Below are 24,401 nucleotides of genomic sequence, written 5' to 3'. Positions count from 1 at the left end.
GGTATTTCATTGTTTTAATTTGCATTTCCCTGATGATGTATAATGTAAAGCATCTTTTCATTTATATTCTTTGGTGAGGTGTCTGTTAAAATATTTGGCCCATTTAAAAGTCAGATTGTTTTCTTATTGTTGAGTTTTGAGAATTCTTTGTATATTTTAAATAACAGTTCTGTATCAGATATATCTTTTGCAAGTAGTTTCTCCCAGTCTGTGGCTTGTCTTCTCATTCTCAAGACAGTGTCTTTTACAGAGCAGAAGTTTTTATTTTAATAAAATATAGCTTAAATCAATTATTTTTTCATGAATAATAACTTTGGTGTCATATTTTAAAAAGTCACCACCAAACCAAGTTATCTAGATTTTTCTCCTGTTGTCTTCTAGGAGTTTTATGGTTTTGCATTTTACATTTAGGTTTGTGATCCATTTTGAGTTAGTTTTTGAGAAGAGTGTAAGGTTTGTGTTTAGATTCTTTGTTTTTGCATCTGGATGTCCAGTTGTTCCATACCATTTGTTGAAATGACTGTCTTTTGTCCATAGATCCCTATTTATCCCTATTAATAATTTTTCATCTAATGTCTATTTTATCTGATAACACTATTGCTACAAAAGCTCCTTTGTCAAAGGTCAGCTGACTATATTTATGTAGACTATTTCTGGGCTATCCATTCTGTTCCACTTATCTATTTTTCTATTCTTTTACCAATACCACATTGTCCTGATTACTGTAGCTTTATATTAAGACTTGAAATGAAGTAGTGCTAGTCTTCCAACTTTGTTCTTCTTCAATGTTGTGTTGGCTATTGATCTATGGTTTAATCAATGAGTTATTCAGGAGTATATTTTAATAAGCTATCTTTATTGTTCACTTTTAACAATTGTATTCAAATGTTTAACATTTATTGAGACATTTCATGTGACTTAGAATATGGACACTTTTTGTAAATGCCCCACGTGTGCTTAAGAAGAATATGTATTTTTTCTGCAGAAATATACACACACACACACACACACACACATATATAATATCAGGAATATATCTAATGTTAGATCTAAATCCTTTCTAATTTGTGTGTGCTAAAAAGTTTGGAACTATTTTGTTAGGTACGTATGAATTCATGTTTACCCCATCTTCTTGACCCGTTGTTGTCTTAATCATAATTTGGCATACCTATTTATCCCTATTAATAATTTTTCATCTAATGTCTATTTTATCTGATAACATTATTGCTACAAATTTTTTTGTTATTATTTCTTGGTATTTATTTTCTTGGGAATTTTCACCCTTTCTATGTTCTTTGGTTTTAACTATAGCTTTTATAGCCAACCTGAGCTGAATTGTCTTTGTATTATTTGATAATCTCTATTGATATGTGAACAGAATCTGTTTATTTTTTTGTACTTATTAATTTATATTTATTTTAATATCTTAATTTAGGTTTCTGCTTATCTTCCTTTTTCCTTTTCTTTTTCTTTTTCCTCATATTTGGCCTTATTTTTTTTTGAGACGAGTCTCGCTTTGTTGCCCGGGCTGGAGTGCAGTGGTGGGATCTTGGCTCACTGCGAGCTCTGCCTCCCGGGTTCATGCCATTCTCCTGCCTCAGCCTCCTGAGTAGCTGGGACTACAGGCGCCTGCCACCATGCCCGGCTAATTTTTTGTATTTTTAGTAGAGATGGGGTTTCACTGTGTTAGCCAGGATGGTCTGGATCTCCTGACCTCGTGATCCACCCGCCTTGGCCTCCCAAAGTGCTGGGATTACAGGCGTGAGCCACCACACCCGGCCATCTATGGCCTTATTTAGCTTGATAACATTTTCAAAAATTACTGTGTGGTTTATCTGGTAGTTTGGGAGTTATACATTATATTTCTATTCTATTAAATGTTACCTTTAATATTTCAATGGGAACATTTGTCTCCAAATTTTTCTTTAAACGTTGCTCAGTCTATTTATCCTCTTCTTAAACAAGCTAAGGACCCAGAACCGTTAATCCACTAACTCCTCCTTTTTGTGCCTTCTTTCCCCCTTCTTGATTGTTGGGTTTAAAATTTTAGTTCTACATGAAAAAATCCACACTGATGCCTCTTTTAAATTTTTGTAAGTAATAGCTGTTTAAATTTATAAACATAAACATATTTATAAGCATATTTGTAAATATTAATTTCTGGGCTTACTTGTTTTTTCTTGTGTTCCATTCATTCTTTTGGGTTCATTTTCTTCTTCCTGTGAAGCTTATTTTTTAGTAGCACTTTTGAGGATCTATATGTTTGGGTGTGTTGTATGATTTCTTAGACTTAGTATTTTGGAAAGTCTTTGTTTTGTTCTCAATTTTGCATGACAGTTTAGATTGATTTAGAATTTTATATTTATTTGTATTTTCCCTCAGATGTTTTAAAACATTGTCTTCTGTTAATTATCATTGCTGTCAAGAGTTCTTTTATCAAAGTTGCCATCCTTTTCTAGATAGCCTATCTTTTTTCTATGTGAGAATTTAAGTTTTTTATTCATTATTCTTCAAATATTTATTGATTTCCAGTCAGTGTTGTAGGCACGGCGGGGGGTATACATCAGTGAACAAAGCAGTAAAAATTCCTGGCATTCATTAACCTTGCAGTCTAGGGAGTGAATATATAAGCTAAGATAAAGCTAGATGCTATAATAAATTAAACTCCTAATTATCAGTAGCTTGATTACTTGAGATTTTATTTTTTATTCATCAAACTGTCCCAGTTAGACAGCTCTCCTCCAAACAATTATTAAAAGACCCAGCCTTCTTATTCTGCTATGTGACTCTGCTATCTTTTACATTTGGACTTTGGTACCAATGGTGTCCTAGAGTCACCTCCATTCTAGCAGGCAGGGAGGGGAAAGAGCATAGAGGATTGCATGGCGGGTATTTAGGCACCAGGCTTACAAGGGGCACTTATTTTGACCACATTTTTTCTTGTGGCCAGAACTAAGTCACTTGCCATACTTCAACTTCAAGTGCACCTGGAAAAAGTAGTCCAGCTATGGGTCCAGGAGGAAGAGAAAATACATTTGGGAATCAGCTAGCAGTCTCTGCATGTAGAGATGAATAATAAATGAGTATTTTATATATTGTATGTTAAATAGTATTAGTGTAAAGAAGAAAATAAATCAGGAGGGATTTAGGGAGGGTTGCAATCGTGAATGGGTGGCTGGTGAAGGCCTCATGGAGAAGGTGTGTTTAAGTATACACCTGGGAGAAGTGAAGGGTTGGTACCTTGTGAATCTGACAAAAGAACATTTCAGGCAAATAAGGTAGCAAATGCAAATATCTTCAGGTGGGGGCAATCCTGGTCTGACCAGAGCAGCTGGGAAAGAAAGCTGTTTGGCTCCAGGAGAGGGATTGAGGGGCTGGAGGGAAAATGAGGTCAGCTAGCCACAGATAATGTAGGGGTGTGTGGGGACATGGTGACTTCTATATTTACTCCATTGTTACTGGAAGGCATCAGTAGCTTTTGAATGGAGGATGTTGTCTGACCTATGTTTTATTTGAATAACTCTGGTTGCTGGGTTGGGAGTAGGTCATGGATAGGGGCAGGAAGTAGAACTAGGCCACTTAGGAGGCTATTCTGATAATTCAGGTAAGAGAGAATAGTGGTTTCAGCTAGAGTGTTAATAGTAAAGGTGTTGCGAAGCTATCAGCTTCTGAATATATTTTGAAGGTAGAGCTGACAGGATTTGCTAATGAATAGGACGTAGAATGTACAAAACAGAGAAGAGCCAAAGATGATTGTCTGGCCTCAGTAACTGGAAGAGTGGAGATGTCATTTGCTGAGGGAGAAATCATCAGAATAGGATCAGGAACTCAGTTTTGATGTGTAAAATTTGAGATGGTTTGGTGACATCCGAATGAAGATGTGAGATAGACAAGGGGAGAGGCCCAGGATAAAAATATCTATTTGCCAGTTATCAATATAGAGATGGTATTGAAAGCCATGAGCCAGGACTAAATCACAAAATAAACGTATGTGGTAGAAAAGAGATTCAAGGCCTGAGCCTTGGGACATTCCAATATGCTGAGGTCAGTGAGATGAGGAGGAACTAGCATAAGAGACTGAGAAGGAAGTAAGAGAAGGTAACAGAAAATCTAGGACACTGGAAATCCCTGGAAGCTAAATGAAGAAAATATTTCAAGAAGGAGACAGTGATAAAATACATAAAATGCTGTTAACAGGTCGGCTAAGATGAGGACTAAGATTGACAATTAGATTTAACAGCATGAAAGTTATTGGCGACTTTGACAAAGAATGGCAGGTTGCATTCCCCAGAAAGACCCTCTGACATGGAGGATGAGAGAGATGTTTGTTAATTAGTGCTCTTGAAATAGCCATCTCTGGATTTCGAAAGGGAAGAAAGCAGGAATTGTCAGAGGGAGAAATTGAGCTGTGATGCAGTCTAGCGAAGACTCCCCGGGGCGGGGAGGGGCTTTAATGTTGAGTTGACCCTTCAGAGTTGTCCTGAGTTGGGACAAGTTATCTGAGCCTGCATAAATCCTAGTTGACTAGTCACTGATATTGGACTGCCCTGTAAGGTAACTGTGTGACTCCTCAGACAGGGCAATTCTGAAGGGCAAAGCTGTGGACTATAATCTGGTAGCATTGCTAGCAGCTGGGTAATAAGTTCTTTAGGGGGCTCTTAGTAGTCACAGAGTTCACTAGAAGCAGTTTAAAGTAGCAAGGGCAAAAGTCTGGTGAGAGCCAGTTCAAAAGAGAATGGGAAGAGAAAAATTGGAGATAATCAGCTTAGATGATTCTTTTTTTTTCTTCATTTCTGATACTCACTAGGAAGTGTCTGGGTGTGGATTTATTTTTATTCTTTCTTGGCATCTGGAATGTACTTTTAATCTCTAGATTGATGTCATTTTTCTATACGATACTTCAAATATTGTTTTTCCTCCATTTCCCACCCCCCTCCCCTGAGCTTCCTTTATACACATGTTGGAATCTTTCAGTTTTTCCTTTATATCTTTTTTTTTTTGGTCTCAGTGTTTTTATTTTATTTTTTATTATACTTTAAGTTCTAGGGTACATGGGCACAACGTGCAGGTTTGTTACATATGTATACATGAGCCATGTTGGTGTGCTGCACCCATTAACTTGTCATTTACATTAGGTATATCTCCTAATGCTAACACTCCTCCCTCCCCACACCCTCCTTTATATCTTTTCATTGTTATTTCATCTTTCTTTCTCTATCTCATTTCATCAACTTCTGGGAAACTCCTTAGTGTTATCTTCTAGCTCACTGATTCTCTTATACTGTGTCCAATCCACATTTTATTCTGTATATCAAGCTTATACAGTTTTTGAAAGAACGTATTTTTATTTAAAGGATTCCAATTTGTTCTATTTCATATCTCTATTTTGTTTCTGGCTATTTTGTTTCATATTTTTATATTCTTTTTTAGAGAGATGGTTTCCTCCTCTGTCTCTTGGTAGAGTCTTAACCTACTTATTTTAAATTCTTTTTCATTTTTTTTATTGTTTTCGTTTCCTATGGAGTAAATTACTATTCCAATTGTTGATCTTATTGATCTTATTGGCTGTCTTTCCTAGTGTTAGTTTTGGACATATGTTAAATAATTTTTAAGTTATTTCATAATAATTTTCAGGCTTATGTAGAGTAGTAAGTTTTATTATATTTTTATGTTTTATTTACTTCTAATGCTCACCACTTTCTGTTTCACAGTTTTGTAGTTGCCCCTAAGTTCCCAGTCCAGAACCAGATCTTATATTGGTTCCTTGGGGCTCCTGCCCCTTTGATAGTGATATTTCAAACCTGTTTCTGAGTCAGTGTTGGTGTGGCTAGGGCGTGGTGGTAAGACATGTCTGTCTCCTCTGCCTCTCCAAATATGGAGCTTGTGATAACCCCCTGTATCAAGCACCAGTGGGAAGTTGCATTTCTACCTCTTTTTAGCTAGTCATTTTTAGCAGAGCCTCGCTGTGATCCCCTACCTAACATGAGAATTACTCTGAGTTCTGGTTACTACACTGGAGCTGAACTCCAGGTTGCCTCTACTTGGCTTCTGGGAGCTGGAACAGCATCCACAGCTTCAGTCCCATCACCCCTCTGTATTAATTTTCTATTTCTGGCCCTTGAAGATGACTAAAAGTACATCCCTACCCTATTAATGCCTGTCTCATTCCTTAGGGAAAAGCTTTCAGCCATTTTTTTTTTTTTTTTTAAGACAGAGTCTCATTCTGTTACCAGGCTGGAGTGCAGTGGTGTGATCTCGGCTCACTAGAACCTCTGCCTCCCAGGTTCAAGCAATTCTCCTGCCTCAGCCCTGTGAGTAGCTGGGATTACAGGTGCCTGCCACCATGCCTGGCTAATTTTTGTATTTTTAGTAGAGATGGGGTTTCACCATGTTGGCCAGGCTGGTCTCGAACTCCTGACTTCAGGTGATCCACCTTCCTCAGCCTCCCAAAGTGCTGGGATTACAGGCGTGAGCCACCCGTGCCTGGCCTTTCAGCCAGATATCGATGAGAAAAAGATAGGTGCTTTGATAATAGTTACTCAATGTGTTATTCCTCCCAGGGATTTTTTTTTTTCTAGAAAGATGTAAATGCTAGACATGATACTGTATGCATCAATGATGTGTTAATTGTGGACAATATTTGCTTTCTTGGGGACTCTTCATGTTTCTAAAGTCACCCATGTAGTACACAAAATATTATACCTATAGATCTCTTATCCTTTCTCTTTCTTCTGTTTTAATTCTTTACAGAATCCACACATATTTATAGACTCAAGAGTAGAGTTTATTACTAAGTCCTTCCATGCATATCATGTCCCTAGAATTCCCTTCTTTTCTTCTTTGATGATGTTGACGAATATGGCCTTGAGGCACTCGCCATCCTTCTTTGTGTTCTCTGTTCTTTCTATGCTATTCCCACCCTCCCCGAGTCTGCTGCTTGCCCTATTTCTCAGAGAACTCATTCTCTCTCTTGGTTTTACATATCATCTCTGGTTTAAACTACTCTCAAATTTAAATCTCCAATATAGAATAAGATCCAATAAGAAGTAACAGATATGGAAATGAGTACTTACTGAGTGGACCAGGTGTAGACCTGTCATAAATGTTTTTAGACATTCATTCATTTGGTCTTGCAGTAGCCCTGTGAGATATAAAGATTATACAATGATTATTACAGATGAAAGAGCTTAGTCTATGAGGGTTAAGGAAATTGCTGTCCTAATTTCTGGGACTGTGCAGCTCCCAGGATTCAGGACCTTAAGTTTTAAAGCCGGGAAAATCTCAGGCAGACTGGAATGAATTGATTACTCAAGGCCTAAGGCCCTTGATTAGGAAGTGATTAAGCCTGGGCTTGAACCCAGTCCCATCTGAGCAAGTCTGTGCTCTTCACCATGACGTCATACTGTCTCTGTTAGAACAAAGTAGAATAAGAGAGTTCAGTCAGAGAGCAGAAGGTAAAGAAAGAATTCACGGAGGGGAGATTCACGGAGGGTAAAATTCTGGAATTTCATCAGGGGGATTCTTGCTTCATCAGGAATCAGGAAACCCATATTCTGGTTCCAGTTCATTCACAAATCCAGTGTTAAGCTGAAATCACTTACAGCCCTATGTTGCTCTTCCCTCTCCTGTGAAATGAGAGGCTAAACAAATCAACTCCCAAGATTGTTTTCAATTTTAAAGTTGTTTTCCTTGAAACTATCCCTTACATATAAACGCTCCAAAACCATTTCAGACCTTGTAAATATTAGCTAGTTTTTACAAGTTTATAGAGATAAAAAAGAAAACAGAAAATATAAGCCAGAATTTTGCAATATTTCATGATTTGCTCAAATTTCTAGATTTTGCTCTTTAACATCACTATTTCTAAGCACAGCATAATTCTATTGGAACAGTTGAACAGTTTTGGCCTCTAATTTAGTGTATTTAATTTGTTGTAATTAACTTTATGGTGTTTTCATTGTTGTCTTTAACTGTTAACATAGTGTCCCAAACATCTCAGCGGGGAATGCTTTATAAATTTTCTCTCTTTATTGTTATTTATAAAATGTTAATGGCTTCTATTTAAGGCATGTGAGATTAATAACTGGGAGAATGTACTTTTATAACAGCACTGTTTTAATCTGTGAAAATCACAAGAAAAACAGAGTCACAACATGCCACAATTATCAGTGAAGGCATAACTGCATGTATTGATACGGGACTCTTCATAAAATATTTTGAAATCATTTCTGATATAGTAGTGTTCTAAGGAAATAAGGCTCTTATTACCTTTTTTGTTCTTGGACATATATGCCCTAACTGATACATTTCTAACTGAAATCCCCCAGAAATAAAATTTACAATAAGACATAGCTTCTAATATTTTAACATTTTGTTCAAGGAAAGCGTCACTCTATTACCCCCACCTCTGCCTTTCTCTCGGCATATGAGGGTTGTATTCAATGACTGAATGGGAATTTCAGGTGAGAAAAATGTGGAATAATGTGAACTTTTCTGAAACCAGTTTTTGGAGAGTGTGTGTGTGTTTCATTACCGTTCACTTTGTATCAAAGTACTTAGCTCCTCATTGGATAATTATGGTCTTCCTATCAAAATTTTATCAAGATAACAAGAGGGAAAAAATTAAATAAGCAAAGCCCATTAGTCACATTACAAAAATTCATGAGAGGTTATACATACATTTCAGTAGTAGCGGGATTTCCAAATAAATATTAGGAACTCTGAGAAAACAAAGAAGATTGTAATGCTAATGCTTTAGGACTTCTTTTCAGGAATTCAAATAAACAGTTTTTATAGAGTTTTATTACTTGGCTAGTCATGTGCTCAGGCTTATGGAAGACAAAGAAATTTAAACAGCTAGTTCCTGCACTGGTGGGGCTTACAATCCAGCACAGATCTTGGTGGCTTTTACCAAAGCTTGATGCTTCATATTTCTTTTGAGTGAGTGTAAGAAGAGAAATGGAACCACCTGTAATGACTAGGGTAGTATTTTCAGGGTTCTAATAGGTTATATTGAAACATTAATAAAGTATATATAATTACTGTTAAGTAAATTGTAACTGATTTATAACATATAATCAGAAAAGTGCACAATTCCTGTGTATAGCTCAATGAATATTGACGAAGTGTACACATCTCTATAATCACCCTCTGATAAAGAAATGCCTACCCCCTGGAAGGTATTCCAGAGGCCCTCCTTGTGCCCCCCACCTCAGACCCTGCACTCTTTCCTCACAGTTCTCTATTATCCTGTTTCCTATTGTCATTAGTAAGTTTGGCCTGTTTTTGAACTTTATATTATTAAAAACATAGACCGTGTCCTGATTATGCTGGCTTCTTTCAAAATAATATATGTGAGAATATACTATGTCTTTGAATATACCAGTTTATTTTCACTGATGTGAAATATTCCATTGTATAAATAAAATGCAAATTGTGTATTCTACTGTCAGTGGACATTTGGGTTGCTTCTAGTTTTTAGCTGTTACAAATAGCACTGCTATGATCATTCTTATATGTGCCTTTTGGTATACATTATAAGCCTTTCTGTTGGGAGTCTGAGGGATGGGTCATGGTTAGGTACGGATTCAATTTTTAAAGATAATACCAAATGGTTTCCTGAAGACTACCAACTAACACTGCAACAGGCAGTGTGTGAATATTTCAGTAGTTCTATATCTGTCTCAACATTTGGTATTTTTAAAGAAGCCATTCTTTTGGGAGTGTGATGGTCGTGGTTTTATTTGTGTTTCCTGGGTGATGAATGAGTTTTGAATGAATGTCTTTTCACATGCTTCTTTCCCATTTTGTTGCCTATTTTTATATTCAACTGCCTGTATTTTTCATTGATTTGTAAAAGTTCTTTATATTATAAGGTACATTTGTGCTTATAATTGTGGATGATACATGGACTAAAATTCAGTATTTCGATTTATTCTAGTAGTTGATCTCTACTCAAGTATGGGTCTATCTAACATTGATCATTTCCTTTTTACCCCCAAGTTACTCCACCTAACCACTATGAATGATAGTCTTGTCTCACCAACCCCAGCCCATCATCTGTTGGTAAGCTTTGATCTTCAGTGACCTTCAATGTACATGTCCATGTATTGCCAAATCATATTTTATACATAACAGTATCAAAATCCTAAAATAAGATCACAGAAAAACTCCATAGCTTGTTGAATATGGCTCAGAATAGTTGGTTTTACCCATTAAGAGAGTCAAAAGGTGAAAAAAAGAGTGTATTTTAGCCAAAAAAAGTAAGAATTTTAAAGTATAATGGGAGAGTGTTCTCAGTTTAACATCTCCTTTTTAATGAGTTGAGAACTGAAATGTATTAATAACTGCTTTTTTGTGATTTAAAGATTTAAATATTTCATGTAAGCTGGGAATATTTGAGATATCTTAATTAATGTAAGTGTCCATGCATGCCCATAAAAGAATAGAACATAATATCTATTTTATGAAATAGTGAAAACTTATATCCAGAAGGTACCTTTGAAGTCATTGATGGTGTGCCTCTGAACTTGGAGTGCTGGGGTTGAAGGTGGGTGGGAGGTAGTCGGGAGTGATGGGCAGTTCAGGGAAAGCCCATGAGATCCTCTTCAGTCAGAGCAGCCAGGCTTTCCACCTGTTATTCTCATTGACTTCTGAGACAGAGTTTCTTTAAACATAAGTTGAAGCTGCTATTTTTAATATTATGGGTCTATTTTAAATCTTTTGCTTCTAGACGAGGTAGGATTCAGAGAGGTTAATTGGTTTGCTTCAGATCACTTTGGCAATGGCAGAATCAGGATTGAAATCCAAGTTTGCTCTCATCACAGTGCTCCTAGACTCTGAGCTTTGTGTTAGCTAAAGTGATATCCTAATGATTCATTTATATTATTTCCTTCCCACTTCCTGGTTCTGGGTAATATATTAACCTGAATTAATTAGAAATTTAGAGGAAGGTTTCTGCATCAGGAAAGGAGTATGATTTCATGGGCTTGCCACTGTTCCATGTGGTCCCTGCGTTCCTAGCTAGCCTGATATTAATCATAAATTCATAGAGTATCTTCTTTCCAACTCATTTTATGGCCCTCTCACAAGTTTGGATTATAGTTTAATTATGTAATTATAAATTTCTTGTTCTCCTATCATCTACTGTAGTTGGACCTCTGTATCCGTGGATTCCACATATGTAGATTCAACTAAACATGGATTGAAAATATTTTTTAAAAATGGACAATTGTGTCTGTACTGAATGTGCAGACTTTTTTCTTGTCATTATTTCCTAAACAATATGGTGTTAGAACTACTTGCATAGCATTTACATTGCATTAGGCATTATAAATAATCTAGAGATGATTTAAACTATATGGGAGGGTGTGCATAGGTTATATGCAAATACTATGGCATTTTACATAAGGGACTTGAGCATCTGCAGATTTTGACATCTACAGGGGTCTTGGAATCGATCCTTCATATACAGAGCAATGACTGTATACCTTTGCACATTTTAGATGCCTAATATTTGTCCTGTTATATTGGCCCTCATTGGAACTTGTTCTGTTTGGTTTTCTTTACCTGCTCTCCTTTCTCTTTTCTTATTCCTATTGTTTGGTGCTAGCAGATCTGATGATTTGGTCAGAGACACCAGGAGACTTGACAGAAGTCAGTTAGAAAGAAAATCCAGAAAATAACCTAAAGGTCCTTGTTGACTTAGTAGAGGAAAAGTGGAAGGGGGCTTATACTTATCAGAGAAGGGTGACTAGGACAAAAGCTGGGAGGGAGGTCCTAGTGGCCTAGGCTTGAGAGACACCTGATGAGGCCTGCAACTAGGGACATGACCAGAAGTGGCCTGGTCTAGACTCCTTTTTTTTGGTTTTCTTCTCCAGAGTTACAGAGCGCAGAGTGAAGTAGAGAAGGTCAGGAGGGAGGCACGAACTCTTGCCCATGCAGTTGATTTCTTGGATTTGGAGCCAACTATTTTTTAGCATAGTACACAAAAGCAATGGAATAATAGTGTTTTAGAAACTGATGGGGTCTTAGAGATCTTCTTGCCCAAAAATTTTACCTTGTAAATGAGAAAACTAAGTCCAAGAGAAGTCAAACCAAGCCTTCTGGCTCAGTTCTGTGTGGAGTTGTGGAATGGCAGTACTATGCTTATCACCCATATATACTCAGTTGCATAAGAGAGAAGAGCTCAGGGCAAGAGATTACGTTTTATTTTAAATGAAGTTCAGAAACCATGGAAGGGAAATAATATGATCTGATACACAATTAAGATCACTCCTGCTGTGTGGAGAATGAATTGGCAGAGAAAGAGAGGAAATTGGGAGAGCAGTTAAGAAGCTATTTCAGCAGTCCCAGAATGAAATGATTGTGGCTGGGAGATTAAGATGGGGAGAAGCAGATGTATTTTTAAGTTAAAAACCTAGAAGACTTGATGAATTGGATGTGGTAGACAAAAATATAGGAGAAATAAAAGATTTATGGCTTGAGCAACTAGGTAGATATAGGTACAATTTCTAAGACAGAGAAATGGGGAAGGGTGAAAGTATGATTCAGGGTTAGGAGGATTGAGGTGGAGGGACAGTGGGGAGAAAGTTTGGGGTAGTAAATGAGGACTTCCATTTGCCATAATATCAACTGCTGAAACTACCTTTCCAGATCCCTGGAGCATGGCTTGTTTCCCTGCATCCTGCTAATTACGATAAGGCTTTTTTTTTTTTTTGCCAAAAGAATACTGAATTATAAGAGCCATGATAAAGCCTTGGCTTGTCTTGTCTTTTTCTTTTCTTTGAGACAGGGTCTCACTCTGTTGCCCAGGCTGGAATGCAGTGGCACGATCACGGCTCACTGCAGCCTTGACCTCCCAGGCTCAACTGATCCTCCCACCTCAGCCTCCAGTAGAGTAGCTGGGACTATATGAATGCACCCCACCCAGCTAATTTTTGTATTCTTTGTTGAGAAGGGGTTTGACCATGTTGCCCAGACTTGTGTTGAACACCTGGGCTCAAGCAATTGTTCTGCCTCAGCTTCCCAAAGTTCTGGGATTTTAGTAATGAGCCACTGCACCCAGCCTTAAAGTCTTATCAGTCATCTACTTTAGGAATGTCAAGCTAAGAAGATAAGGTAGGGAAATAGTTTCTACTTCTGTTTGTCTTTCATCCATGTAGAAATGGAATTAGAAATCCTTAGCATTCCTGTAACCGTTTCAGAGAGCCTTAAGTTGCATCTACTGTAAAAGAAAGGGTGAGAGGACTTTTTCACAAATGTGCTGAAGGAAATGTGAGAAGGTAGGTCATCCTTGTCCAGTATGCTGTTGCCATAATTACTGATTATACAAATAGCAAATGCTTTTTGAGATCCTTCCAAATACCAAGCCTTGTTCAAGGCTTGTTGCAGAGAGGAAAACAGAATCTTTGCCTTTATGGAAGTTACATTCTAGAACGTTGGTTATGTCAATGCCCTGTTCAAAAACTTTCAATAGTTCTTTGACCATTTCAGCAGCATAAAATGTAGCCCTCTGCTAAAATCAAACAGACACACAACTTGATGTCCCCCAGACTACGAGTATTCTCACCTCCATGCCTTTGCTTGTACTATTTCTCTCACCTCTCTGTCTTCTCTGCTCTTAAGTTAGGCATTCTGATCCACTCAGGACTGGTATTCAGTACCACAGGGGTGTACTGGCCAGCATTTGGTTCTGATTAACCCTGTGCTCACCCTTCCAGGTGTAAGTAGCTCAGTTCTTCTTGAACTCTCTTTTATGTCACCTTCTCAGGCCTCGGTGATGTTGTCTTCATTTGAACTCATAGTACTCACGGATTTATATCACTTATTTCACAAAGCTCACAGATTTCCTTATGACATCTGGCATACTTTTTGCATGTTGTTTGCATCTTTATTTAAAATTTGATTTATGTTTTTGGCTTTTTTTTCTGAAATAAATGGCAAGTCCTTTGCACAGCTCAGGCACTAAATATGCTTTTATTAATTGATGGATGCATTAGGAAGGACTCAGCATCTCGTAACTGTCTGCTGGAGACTTAAAGTGGAGAGGGGCCCCATTTGCTGATATTTTGTGTCATTGTGCCCATCTCTAAGCAATTCCATCCTTCCTGGCCGTTCTACACCCCCAGCTCCTGTCTCAGAGTCCTCCCTCATCACCTCAAGTTTGCAGGGACATTACCATGCCAGCACCCCTTAGGATGCTTGGCTAGTTTTTTGCATTAAAAGGACAGTGGGATGTCTTGCTTTCCAGCCAATTTAATGCAGGCTGACACTCCTGGCACACTGAATTAAGGTGGAGGAGCCAACAGACCCAGAGAAGAGTCCATTTCTGTGGAAATTAAAACAAGAAAATGATGGAGCACAAAACATTTTTATTTCCTTCTTATACTTAAAGAAGACAGTGTAGTTAAACCAGGCCAGAAGATGAGTTCTGATTGTTAATTGCTGAGGGAGATGCAGTATTTTAATTTATCCCAGTTCATTTGCAGAACTAGGCAGACAAGGTACATGTTCTGTGCTCTAGCCCATGAGATGATGCTGACAATTTGAGAATTAATCATTTTTGGATGTTCCAGATTTGCTATTTTAAAACTGTACCTGCAATGGTATTTTCCCCGCTCTGGGTAGAAGCTGAGGAAAAGTGTTGTAGCCTTTTATCTAAGAGCATGAGGCTACAGGGTCCTGACTTTCATAGGGCAAAGCTGGCTTACAGATTTACTGAAATAATTACCAAATTATTTAATAGGTTTTGAATTCTGAACTCATAGTTTGTTAGTCGAGTCTGCCAACTGAACAATTATACATAGAATCTTAGAACAAGGGTCTCCATGGAACTCTGCTAAAGCATTTAATATTCCCATTTCTAATTGTAAAGCCATTTGAGCATGTAGTAGTATGCACTGGTGTAACTGACTCCTTGGATATAGAGGTAACATTTGATGCATTTTGGATAATGCTTTTGAAGTAATGATAATGTCAAATGTAGAAGGGCTCAGCTAATGAACCCATTAATCAGCCCTTTGTTGAGCACCTCTAGAATGCAATGCACTGAGCTGGGAACCATGAAGGATGAGGCACAAGGCAGACTTCATTCCTCTAACTGAACATTTAAATATTCTGGGAAACTTTCAAAAATGCCAGATGCCTAGGTCCCACTCTAGACATATATTTAAAAACTCCTTAGGTGATTCTGATATTCATCCAGCATTGAGAACTACTGGTATAAAGTATAGTTTTGTTTTCAAGGCATTTGGAGTCTAACTGGGAATGTATAGGACTAAAATTGGGAATATAGATATATAGTATATATCGATCACTCTGTGTTTTTAGCCCCTTACACAGACAGCTTATGTTAAGTTTCTAGGGAGAGGCATGGACAACATAACTACTGTATTTAAGAGAGGAACAGATCACAGGAAAAGAGGCTGGGTGGTCATGGAAGAGGTAGGATTTGAACCTAGGCTTTGAGGGCAGGTAGGATATAAATAAATATAGATGAGAGGTCAAGGCATTCTGAGTGGAAGGCTGGCATAAACCTAAGCTGAAGGCAGGAGTGTATAAGGTATGTGCCAGGTATTAACTGGATATTAGTTGAAAGTAGTAAGAAAGCAAGTAGTAGAAAGTAGTAGGAAATCGGAGAGACCTGCATAGGGTCTTGAGCCCAAACATCTTTTGAGTTTTGCACATGCCACTACATAGCTTCTTACCTTGACAAGCTATTTTACTTCTCTAAGCTCCAATTTCCACATCTGCCAAATATTCATAATAATAGTTCTTATCAGGTTGCCTAGACCCAGTAAGGCAATGTGTATATGAGTACTCGATAAACTGCAGAGCCCTACCCAATGCTAGCTATTGTTACTGTGTTTTGGAGGGGAAGGCATTGAAGGTTATAGAGCACAGAAATGACATATAAAAAGTTTTAATCATTCACCCTATTTACCTATGAGTGAGCAAAAGAAATAGCTAAAAATAAATATTTATCATCACTGAATTACTTAATGTAACTGTGTTTAAGGACTTGGAGCTCACACTTTAAAAAAGAAGATCATTCTAACTGCCCCTCATGACTACTGAAGAGGCTATGCCTGAAAAAGCAAAATGTGAGTATCTGTGCTTACCTAACATAGTACAAGTCATAACACTCCAACTGTTTTAACCACTCTTTTCTATTAATTAGTGACCCTCAGAGCACTACACTTATTGGCACATCTTGAAAGGATTTATTCCATTCCCTTTATTTAAAAATAACCAACTTTTGAGAGATCTTTTTAACTTATTGTGCTGTCCCATATGGTATCCACTTGTCACATGTGGGCTATTCAGTCCTTGAAATGTGGCTGGTGAAACTAAGGAACTGAATATTTAATTTAAATTTAATGAATTTTAATTTAAACTTAAAAACTGATAATTCAGTTATTGGAAAACCTTTAAGCATGTTTGGAACAAATTTGGGCATATAAATCTATTTTTTCAAGTGATGATTTTATAAAATGTAAATACAGATTAAGTAGTTCTGATAAAAATTTAGCATGTGAGTTGTGATGTATGTAAGTACAAACAAAATACATATAGAGTTTCGAAGATAGAACAAAAAAGAATGTAAAATATCTAATTCATTTTAAATATTGATTAATGTTGAAGTGGTAATATTTAGATGTATTTTATTTAAATAAAATATTCTATAAAAATTATGTTACACAAATTAATTTCACCTTTTTTAGTATGTCTACCAGAAAAATTTAAATTACATGTAAATTACATATTCAGTTCACACTGTATAATCTTCTAGCTTTATTGAGGTACAATTCACAAATAAAAATTAAATATAAAGGTGTGCAATGTGCGTGTTAACATGTATACACATTGTAAAATTATTACCTCTATCGAGCTAATTATAATATCCATTACTTCACATAGTTAGCTTTTTTTCTGGTGTGATGAGACTACTTAAGATTTCTCTCAGCAACTTTCAGGTATACCATACATTATTATTAATTACACATTATATTTCTTTTAGAGTTAATCTAGACTTGGCAGCAAATACAAGCAATCCTAACATATAGTGCCGCACATAGAGCTGAGGTTATTACTGTTCTGCTACTTCCTCTTGGCTCCTGTTACCCCTGACAGTGTATGATACAGGCCAGCAAGCATCTGCCCAGGGCTGCCAATAGAGCTCTGTGATGATCACTTTAACTCTCTTTTTATGTGGATAACACAGAACACTTTTAAAGATGGGAAGGTCAGAAAGGGTGGAAGATCCAGGAAGTGGAGGAGGAATATTCTCTAGTTCCATTTTGCTTTAGGTCATGCCCACATGACCTTGATGCTATGAGCCTGGCATTTCCCTACATCTCCTTAGTAACCTGACCACTGTCTGAGAAATATTAACATAGAAAGATTTTTGGGCAGTACCCTGTAAGATATGTCTGAGGTATATATGAAACTTATTAGCATTTCTTGGTGCAAATAAGGCAGGATACTTTGTTAAAGAAGACCAGAGAATAAGGGAGGGGGAAAGTAAGTCAGTAAGAGACAACTCAACAGAGTGCCTTTAATTTAGAACTGAAGAGTTGAGTCTTAATGCAGAATGTATTACGGAAAAAAATGTTGAATATGTGTTTTAGGAGATGATAACCAGATGCCACTTGAAATTTGGGTTTCATTTGGTTCTTTAACTCTTTTTAGGAATAAATTAGAAATAATTTATGTTTTCTTCACTTACATGTAATGAAATTAATATAAATTATTGTATTTGAAGTTTTTGTCCAAAGAGCTTCTATTTACTTTCCAGCTCCATAACTCTTTACCCTAGAACTGATGGCCTTAATTCCAGCTTCTCTCCTCTTCAGCTTCTCCCCTCTACAGCTTCTCTCCACTTCTTGGCACTCTAATCCTTCTCTCCATCTGAACCTGTTTACAAGCAGGTTCTTTCCACAGAGGCACTGTTATTCAGACCTTTATTTGTTTTTTGCTTAGCTGTTGTATGTTTACTTTTCAGCAAAGAAATTCTGCAAAATAAAACTTAGGAAGAGCTCAAATATGTAAAACAGATAAGATCTGAGCCTCTGATTGAAAGAAGGAAGCACCCCCAAGGCACATGAAATTAATGAAGCACATATTTAAAACCACTGCCTTAGCCTGGCTTCCATTCACTTATTTCTCTTGGAGTATTTCTGTTTTCAATATTATTTTCAATAATACAGTGTAAAGCTTTATCTTTTTAAAGGGAAATTCATACATTAGTGCGCTAGCGGTAGGGGGTGTTGGTGGTTTATGTTGGCTTCTATCACAGTGCCTATCTTAACTGACTGTCAAGGCATTTATTTACACATTTTTTCTAGCACTAGACTCTTAAGCACTTGGAAGACAGAAATAGCTAGTCTTACTTATTTTAGCACATTTAGCATCAAAACAGCATCTAGCACTTAGTAGGTACTTAAAAAATGTGTGCTAAACTGACTCCCATTGTGTCTGAGGTGGGGCTTTTGTTACACCTGTCAGGCATTTACTCTGATTACATACACAGGGTTGGCCTTAGCCATGTGGCCACACATCTTTGCTTAAGATTATCTTTTAACTAAAATTTTGTGAAGCCTCTCTGAAGAATGTAGCCTATTAATGGGAAGGATGTAAACCCTCTGAGTATGGCCAGTTGTTTTTATTATCGTTATGAAAAGCAAATGTTTTTAAGCCCCTGGGTCTTTTCGGATACAGAAAATACTTACTCAACAATTCTAATTAAGAGATGGCTTATTCTCTGTCATAGTTTCCATAACTAGATTTTCTTTTTGTATCTTCACTTCAGAGGCTCACTGGAGCAACTATGTAGAACCTCTAAAGTAGTAGAGAAATCTGGTTTTATGAACCGTCATCACAATTGTGTTAAGCTGATGATATATGAAAAATGAGGTTTTTTTTTAAAAGATAAATGTGTGAAAATGTTTTAGGCTAGTGAAATATTTGGGATTAGAGCTACTCATATTTTTTTTCCTATAGGAATGTTAGTATTTGCACTCATGTCTTAGATGAGTTTAATATGACCATTTCAACCTCTTCATGAACTTTATTGCAAAACATTTATTATTACTTGTAATGACTTACTATTGCTTTTGGGAACTTTAATAACATGAAGAATCCTATGTATGAAAATATTTTATTAACTGCAAACATATTAGTTAGTTTTGGATAAAAAGGAATTTTAATAAGACAATTTACCCAAACTGCATTAGGAAGTTATCTTTGTGATTCTGAAGAAATGAGGGTTGACTAAAAAAAAAAAAAAAATTATATAAACACTGTTGGGGAAAAGTTTAGCCCAATGATGGTAATGCAATAATCTCAAAAATAATACAATTTCTCACATTTATTGAAAGCTTATATGTTAGGTGCTGTGCTGTTTTGTAACAGTGTTTAAGTTAATCTTCAGACAAATCTCTGTGACATATATTATTATTATCCTCTGTTTACAAATAAGAAAAATAAGGCTTAAGACAATAAGGTTCATGAGCAAACTGGAATTCAAGCACAAAATAGTGTGACTCAGGAATAAGAGCTCTTAAAAATCATTCTATATACTATCAATATGTATTTACAAATTAAGTTATAAGTATAGTTTTCATAATAAAGAAGGAACAGACCTTGGCAACTTCCGCAAAATAATAGGTGAAGTGCACTTGAATGTGTAAAAGATGCAAGCTTATATTCTTACCCCATTATGAACAAAGAAAAGAGAAGCCTCAAAGATTATTGACTAGATGGAGCTTTAATAAAAATGTTGTTTGATTTCTTGTAATTTTTAGACTCATTTGTGGGATAGATACATGTCCTTGGAAATTATAAAAATAAATGATGCTAGCATTGTCTTTTCTAAGGCATTGAGGTATGAGTTATCTTGTGCTATCTTGTGAATTTCACTCTTGTTCAAGGGCCACTTTTTAGTGATGGTAGAAAATCAGAACAGCTACCTCAGTGCCTCAAATGACAACAAGGGCTCAGGACTGCCAGCTGGAAGTCAATGTCCACATGACTTCATTGGAGCCATTTCAGGATCTATGTGAAATTGCTGCTTTCTGACCTTGGCTGCCTTTCTCTGCTCCTTTATGAACAGTCTCAGGCCTTGTTCTGCTCAGTAATCTCATGGCCTGACTGTAAGGGTATGCTGTGACAATACCTTGATATGTCAAGATCTGCTTTCTGGCCCCAGCAAGGCCATTAGCGCTACTAGAGCGCATATAGTTTCTCCACGGTCCACAGGTGATGGGTGGCACTTGTGGACAGGGGAAATCAGGGACTAATCAACAAAGAGCCCAGCAAGGAAGAAAATGCTACTTTGGGAATTTAACTCCTCTGTCGAAAGCTAATTCTAGTTACAAAGGGGGAAGTCGAAACAGCTGCATCAGCACATTAAATGACAACAAGGGGCAGGATTGCTGGCTTAAAATGCAAGTGTCAGGGAAACGTGCGTATCTCACCAGTGTGACCAGCCAAGTTTCAGAGGAATTTCCAGTACTCATGAGGTGTACATGGCACTGGGAAAAGCAGTACATTTGTAGAAAAGAGCAGCAAGGAACTCAGGAGCACAGTGCCTGTGCAGAGCCGCAGCACTGCTGTGTGACTTCAGCAGGCTGTCAGGTCTCTGCTTCTCAGAATTTGCCTATAAATGAAGACTAGAACATCTCTAAGGTCTTGTCTGAAATAAGACATGATGGTTTCCACAAAGCTACATTTTGAACAACAACAAAAAACCAGTGACTTAATATATTAATAAATTATATTGCTTGTCATGTGTCATGCACATGACAATGTTGTAATTATAAGTGATTGTAATTAAAGTAATTGTAAGGGATATTTGATTAGTCAGAAAAAGGGAATTAAAAGAGGAAAGGACTGTCATGAGAGAAGGAAAAGGAGGGCAGGTTGTGAAGTCACACCTAGGAATAGCTTGCTGGCTTTCCTCCATGAAGTAAATGCTCTGGCTAGAGGCCTCCTCAAAGCAAAATTGGATTTTGGTTGAAATTTGATGAAACAGTTTTAATTCCAGAACTCTTGCCCTTTCCGTGTGAGGACAGTGCTTCTTTTGGCTTGAATTGGAAAATTAATGTGAACCGGGCTCCATTCCTCAGGACCTCATTACCCTAAGGTAACAGCTACCTGTGGCCTGTGAGTCTACGTGGTGAAAAGCAAGGAGATATTTTGTGCAAGAATAAAGAGAGAGTGTGGCCTTCAATAATTTATTATGAAATTTTCAAACACACAGCAAACTTGAAAGAATTTCGAATCAATGCCCATATACTTACTACCAAGTTCTTACCATTAATATTTTACTGTACTTGATTTGTCACATACCCATCCATCAATCAACATGCATATCATTAGTTAGAATTAATTATTTCTTTATAGTTTTTCTTCTTTTGATGTAAAATGTACATACAATGAAATGCACAAATCTTAGGTGTACATTGAGTACACTAATGATAATATATGCCTGTATAATCCAAATTCCTATCAAAATACAGAACATTCCCATCACTCCAGAAATTTCCTTCATGTCTCTTCTCAGTTAATCCATCATACCTTCCCACAGAATAATAACTGTTTTGTTTTTTCCACCATAGATTAGTTTTACCTGTTCTAGAACTTTGTATAAGTGGAACCATATAGCATGTGCTTTTTTGTGTAAGTCTGCTTTAACTTGGCATAATATTTTTGAAATTTATCCGTAGTGGTGTACATGTCAGTACCTCTTTTTATTGCTAAGTAGTAGTTTATTGTACACATATAACCACAGTTTACAAACTCTTCTGTTGTTACATATCTGGGCTGTTTTCAATTTAGAATTATTATGAGTAAAGCTACTGTAAACATTTTTGTACAAATCTTTTGTAAACATACATTTTCATTCTCTCTGGTAAATACCTAGGATTGGAATTGCTGGGTTGTAGGATGGGTGTATATTTAGCTTTAAAAGAGATTGCCATACCTTTTCCAAACTGATTATGCTATTTTACATTTCCACCAGCAATACTTGAGGGTTCCAGTAGCTCTACAGCCTCATCAACACTTGGTGTTATCAGTCTTTTCAATTTTAGCCGTTTTGGTGAGTGTAGTGGTATCTCATTATAGTTTTGATTCACATGAAGATTGAGTTTTTAATTGCTTAAAATTTGAGTGGGTGAAGAGTAGAGAAAACCTTCATAGTAAGAGTACTAATAGAGATAGAGTTATAAAAACAGAGAGCCCACTGGCCAGACTTTGAATAGGTAATATATTTAAATTTTGCTGAGTTTGAGTTAAGAGGAGGAAGCCAAGAAACACTTATAAGTGTCAGGATCCACTGATACAATTCCATTTTTAGTATTTGTGCTGCTGAAGCAAGCACACAATCAGCTAATAATAAAGAAAATATGTAAAGAGGAAAACTTAGACAAGGCTGAATGAGAATGATGTAGTCTACATGCTGTAGAATTGTATACATAACCCTGGTTAAAAGAAATTAAGAAACTTAGGCTGGGTGCTTTCGGTCACACCTGTAATCCCAGCACTTTGGGAGGCCAAGGCAGGTAGATTGCTTGAGCCCTGGAGTTCGAGACCAGCCTGGGCAGCATGGTGAAACCCCATCTCTACAATAAGTACAAAAATTAGCTGGATGTGGTGGTGCACGCCTGTAATCCCAGATACTCAGAAGGCTGAGGTGGGAGGATTGCTTGAGCCTGGAAAGCAGAGGTTGCACAGAGCCAGAATTGTGCAACTGTACTCCAGATTGGGCAACAGAGGGAGACTCTGTCTCACAAAAAAAAAAAAAAAAGTCGAAAGAAATTAAGAAACTTAGAAAAATCCATAGACATGTGTTTTTGAATTTCAGTGCTGCTTCTATTTAATAAATTTATTGAGGTATTTTATTTTACAGTTATAATTTTATCAACAAGTTGGAAGGTAAATACTCTTGAGGAAATGTACAGCTTCATACATTAGTCATCAAGTATGGAAAACACAGACTTGTTAATAACTTTTGTGCCCAAAACATGTTGTTATATCTTCTATACAGTAACATTTAAAGGACTTTCAGAACTGAAGGATGTTTCTGTTTTGTATATTTTCTTTGTTTTTTCTGGACTGAAGTAACTTAGGATAACCTATCTTATCACCTGACCATTACAACCTTATATTTCTTCTTAAAAGCAAAATATTATGTTAAGAGATCATTGTATTTCTTTTGCTTCCTTTTATAATGTCAACTTGTAAAATTTACTTTCACATTAACTGCTTAAAAAATGTTTCTCTGTTTGTATATTAGGTCCTACATTAGAGATCACCAAGCAAGACTTTTTTCAAGAAGCAAAAACTCTCATTGCCCAACATTATGAGAAAATAAATGAGGTTAGTCCTTTGCATTTATCTAATGTTACATTTTAAAATTTTTGCATACTACAAGGATTCTCCCAAAGGATTGCATAAACCCTAAGATATGATAGAATAAATAGAAAAGAGAATAGAATTGAAGAGAAAAATGAAATGCTCACTAGCTATAAAAATTGATTTCAAATGACATTTTAAAATAAGATTTTTTAGTTGTATGAATTTTAATTATACAAATGTGTTTAATTTGTACATTTAATACAATTTAAATTTTTTTTGAAGAATTTTAACATAAATAATTGGATTTATCATGTCACATAAATATCCCTTTAAATGCTGTTTAGTCGAAGCTAAACTAGAAAATAAATTGTGAGATGAGTCTCTTCTATACCCTTAGCATGATTACCTTAGCATGATACATTATATTCCATGTATCTTTTTGCATTAAAATTGTCCGTTTGCTGGTCTGATAGATCCTTGAGGGCATAGAATATTTTTTGAATGCTGTATCTCTAGCAATAATGATTGTTCCTGGCTCAATAAATATTTGCTGAATGGCATATATTTCGAAAGTGAGAAGAAGGAGTGAAAGGGAAAGGGATAACAAAGAGACAGAGGAGGGTCAGCACAGGGTGACATTTTGGAGGAGAGCATCTATAGAGGAGGTAGCAAATTTGGGGAAGGGGCAACTATTGTGACCGTTGGGCCTTTGGGAAGACAGGTGAGGGGAGGGTAACTTCGGATGGTTTACTGTGTGTCAAATGATCCTAGTCCCCTGCTAAATACTTAAAAATTTTTTTAAACAAAATTTTAAGTAAGCTTTTAAATATTTTTCAATATTTCTTGCAGATGGGGAGGAGGATTCTAATTTTTACTTATGTTTCTTTTGAATGGTCCTTTATGCCAAGACTGGCCATACATACTTTTAATCATGTAATCAACATTGTACGCATTGCTTAACTAATTTTTCCTCTAACCAATTTAAAATGATTTTCAATTATATTAATTTCACTGGTGGGAACATGGGATGAATGTTTCAC

At 36.5% G+C, this 24,401-nt stretch overlaps 1 protein-coding gene across 18 annotated transcripts in view; it reads left to right on the top strand.

Moving 5' to 3' along the window:
- Positions 1–24,401, top strand: part of IQCM (IQ motif containing M) — a 464,135-nt gene that overhangs the window by 57,086 nt on the left and 382,648 nt on the right. For 8 of the 18 annotated variants that reach the window (XM_017008903.3, XM_017008900.3, XM_017008901.3 and 5 more), the window contains 3 exons: positions 10,003–10,065; positions 16,019–16,103; positions 23,300–23,382. In XM_017008903.3, the coding sequence (XP_016864392.1) occupies positions 16,067–16,103; positions 23,300–23,382 (120 nt within the window). In that variant the 5' untranslated portion in view covers positions 10,003–10,065; positions 16,019–16,066. The remainder of the gene's footprint in view (positions 1–10,002; positions 10,066–16,018; positions 16,104–23,299; positions 23,383–24,401) is intronic. The other 10 variants (NM_001363507.2, XM_017008902.3, NM_001363509.2 and 7 more) reach the window with 2 other exon arrangements.

Source organism: Homo sapiens, chromosome 4, assembly GCF_000001405.40.
Source record: "Homo sapiens chromosome 4, GRCh38.p14 Primary Assembly".
Classification (NCBI taxonomy): domain Eukaryota; kingdom Metazoa; phylum Chordata; class Mammalia; order Primates; family Hominidae; genus Homo; species Homo sapiens.
Note: the sequence above shows the minus strand (reverse complement) of the source record. Positions and strands in the feature narration are given on the sequence as shown.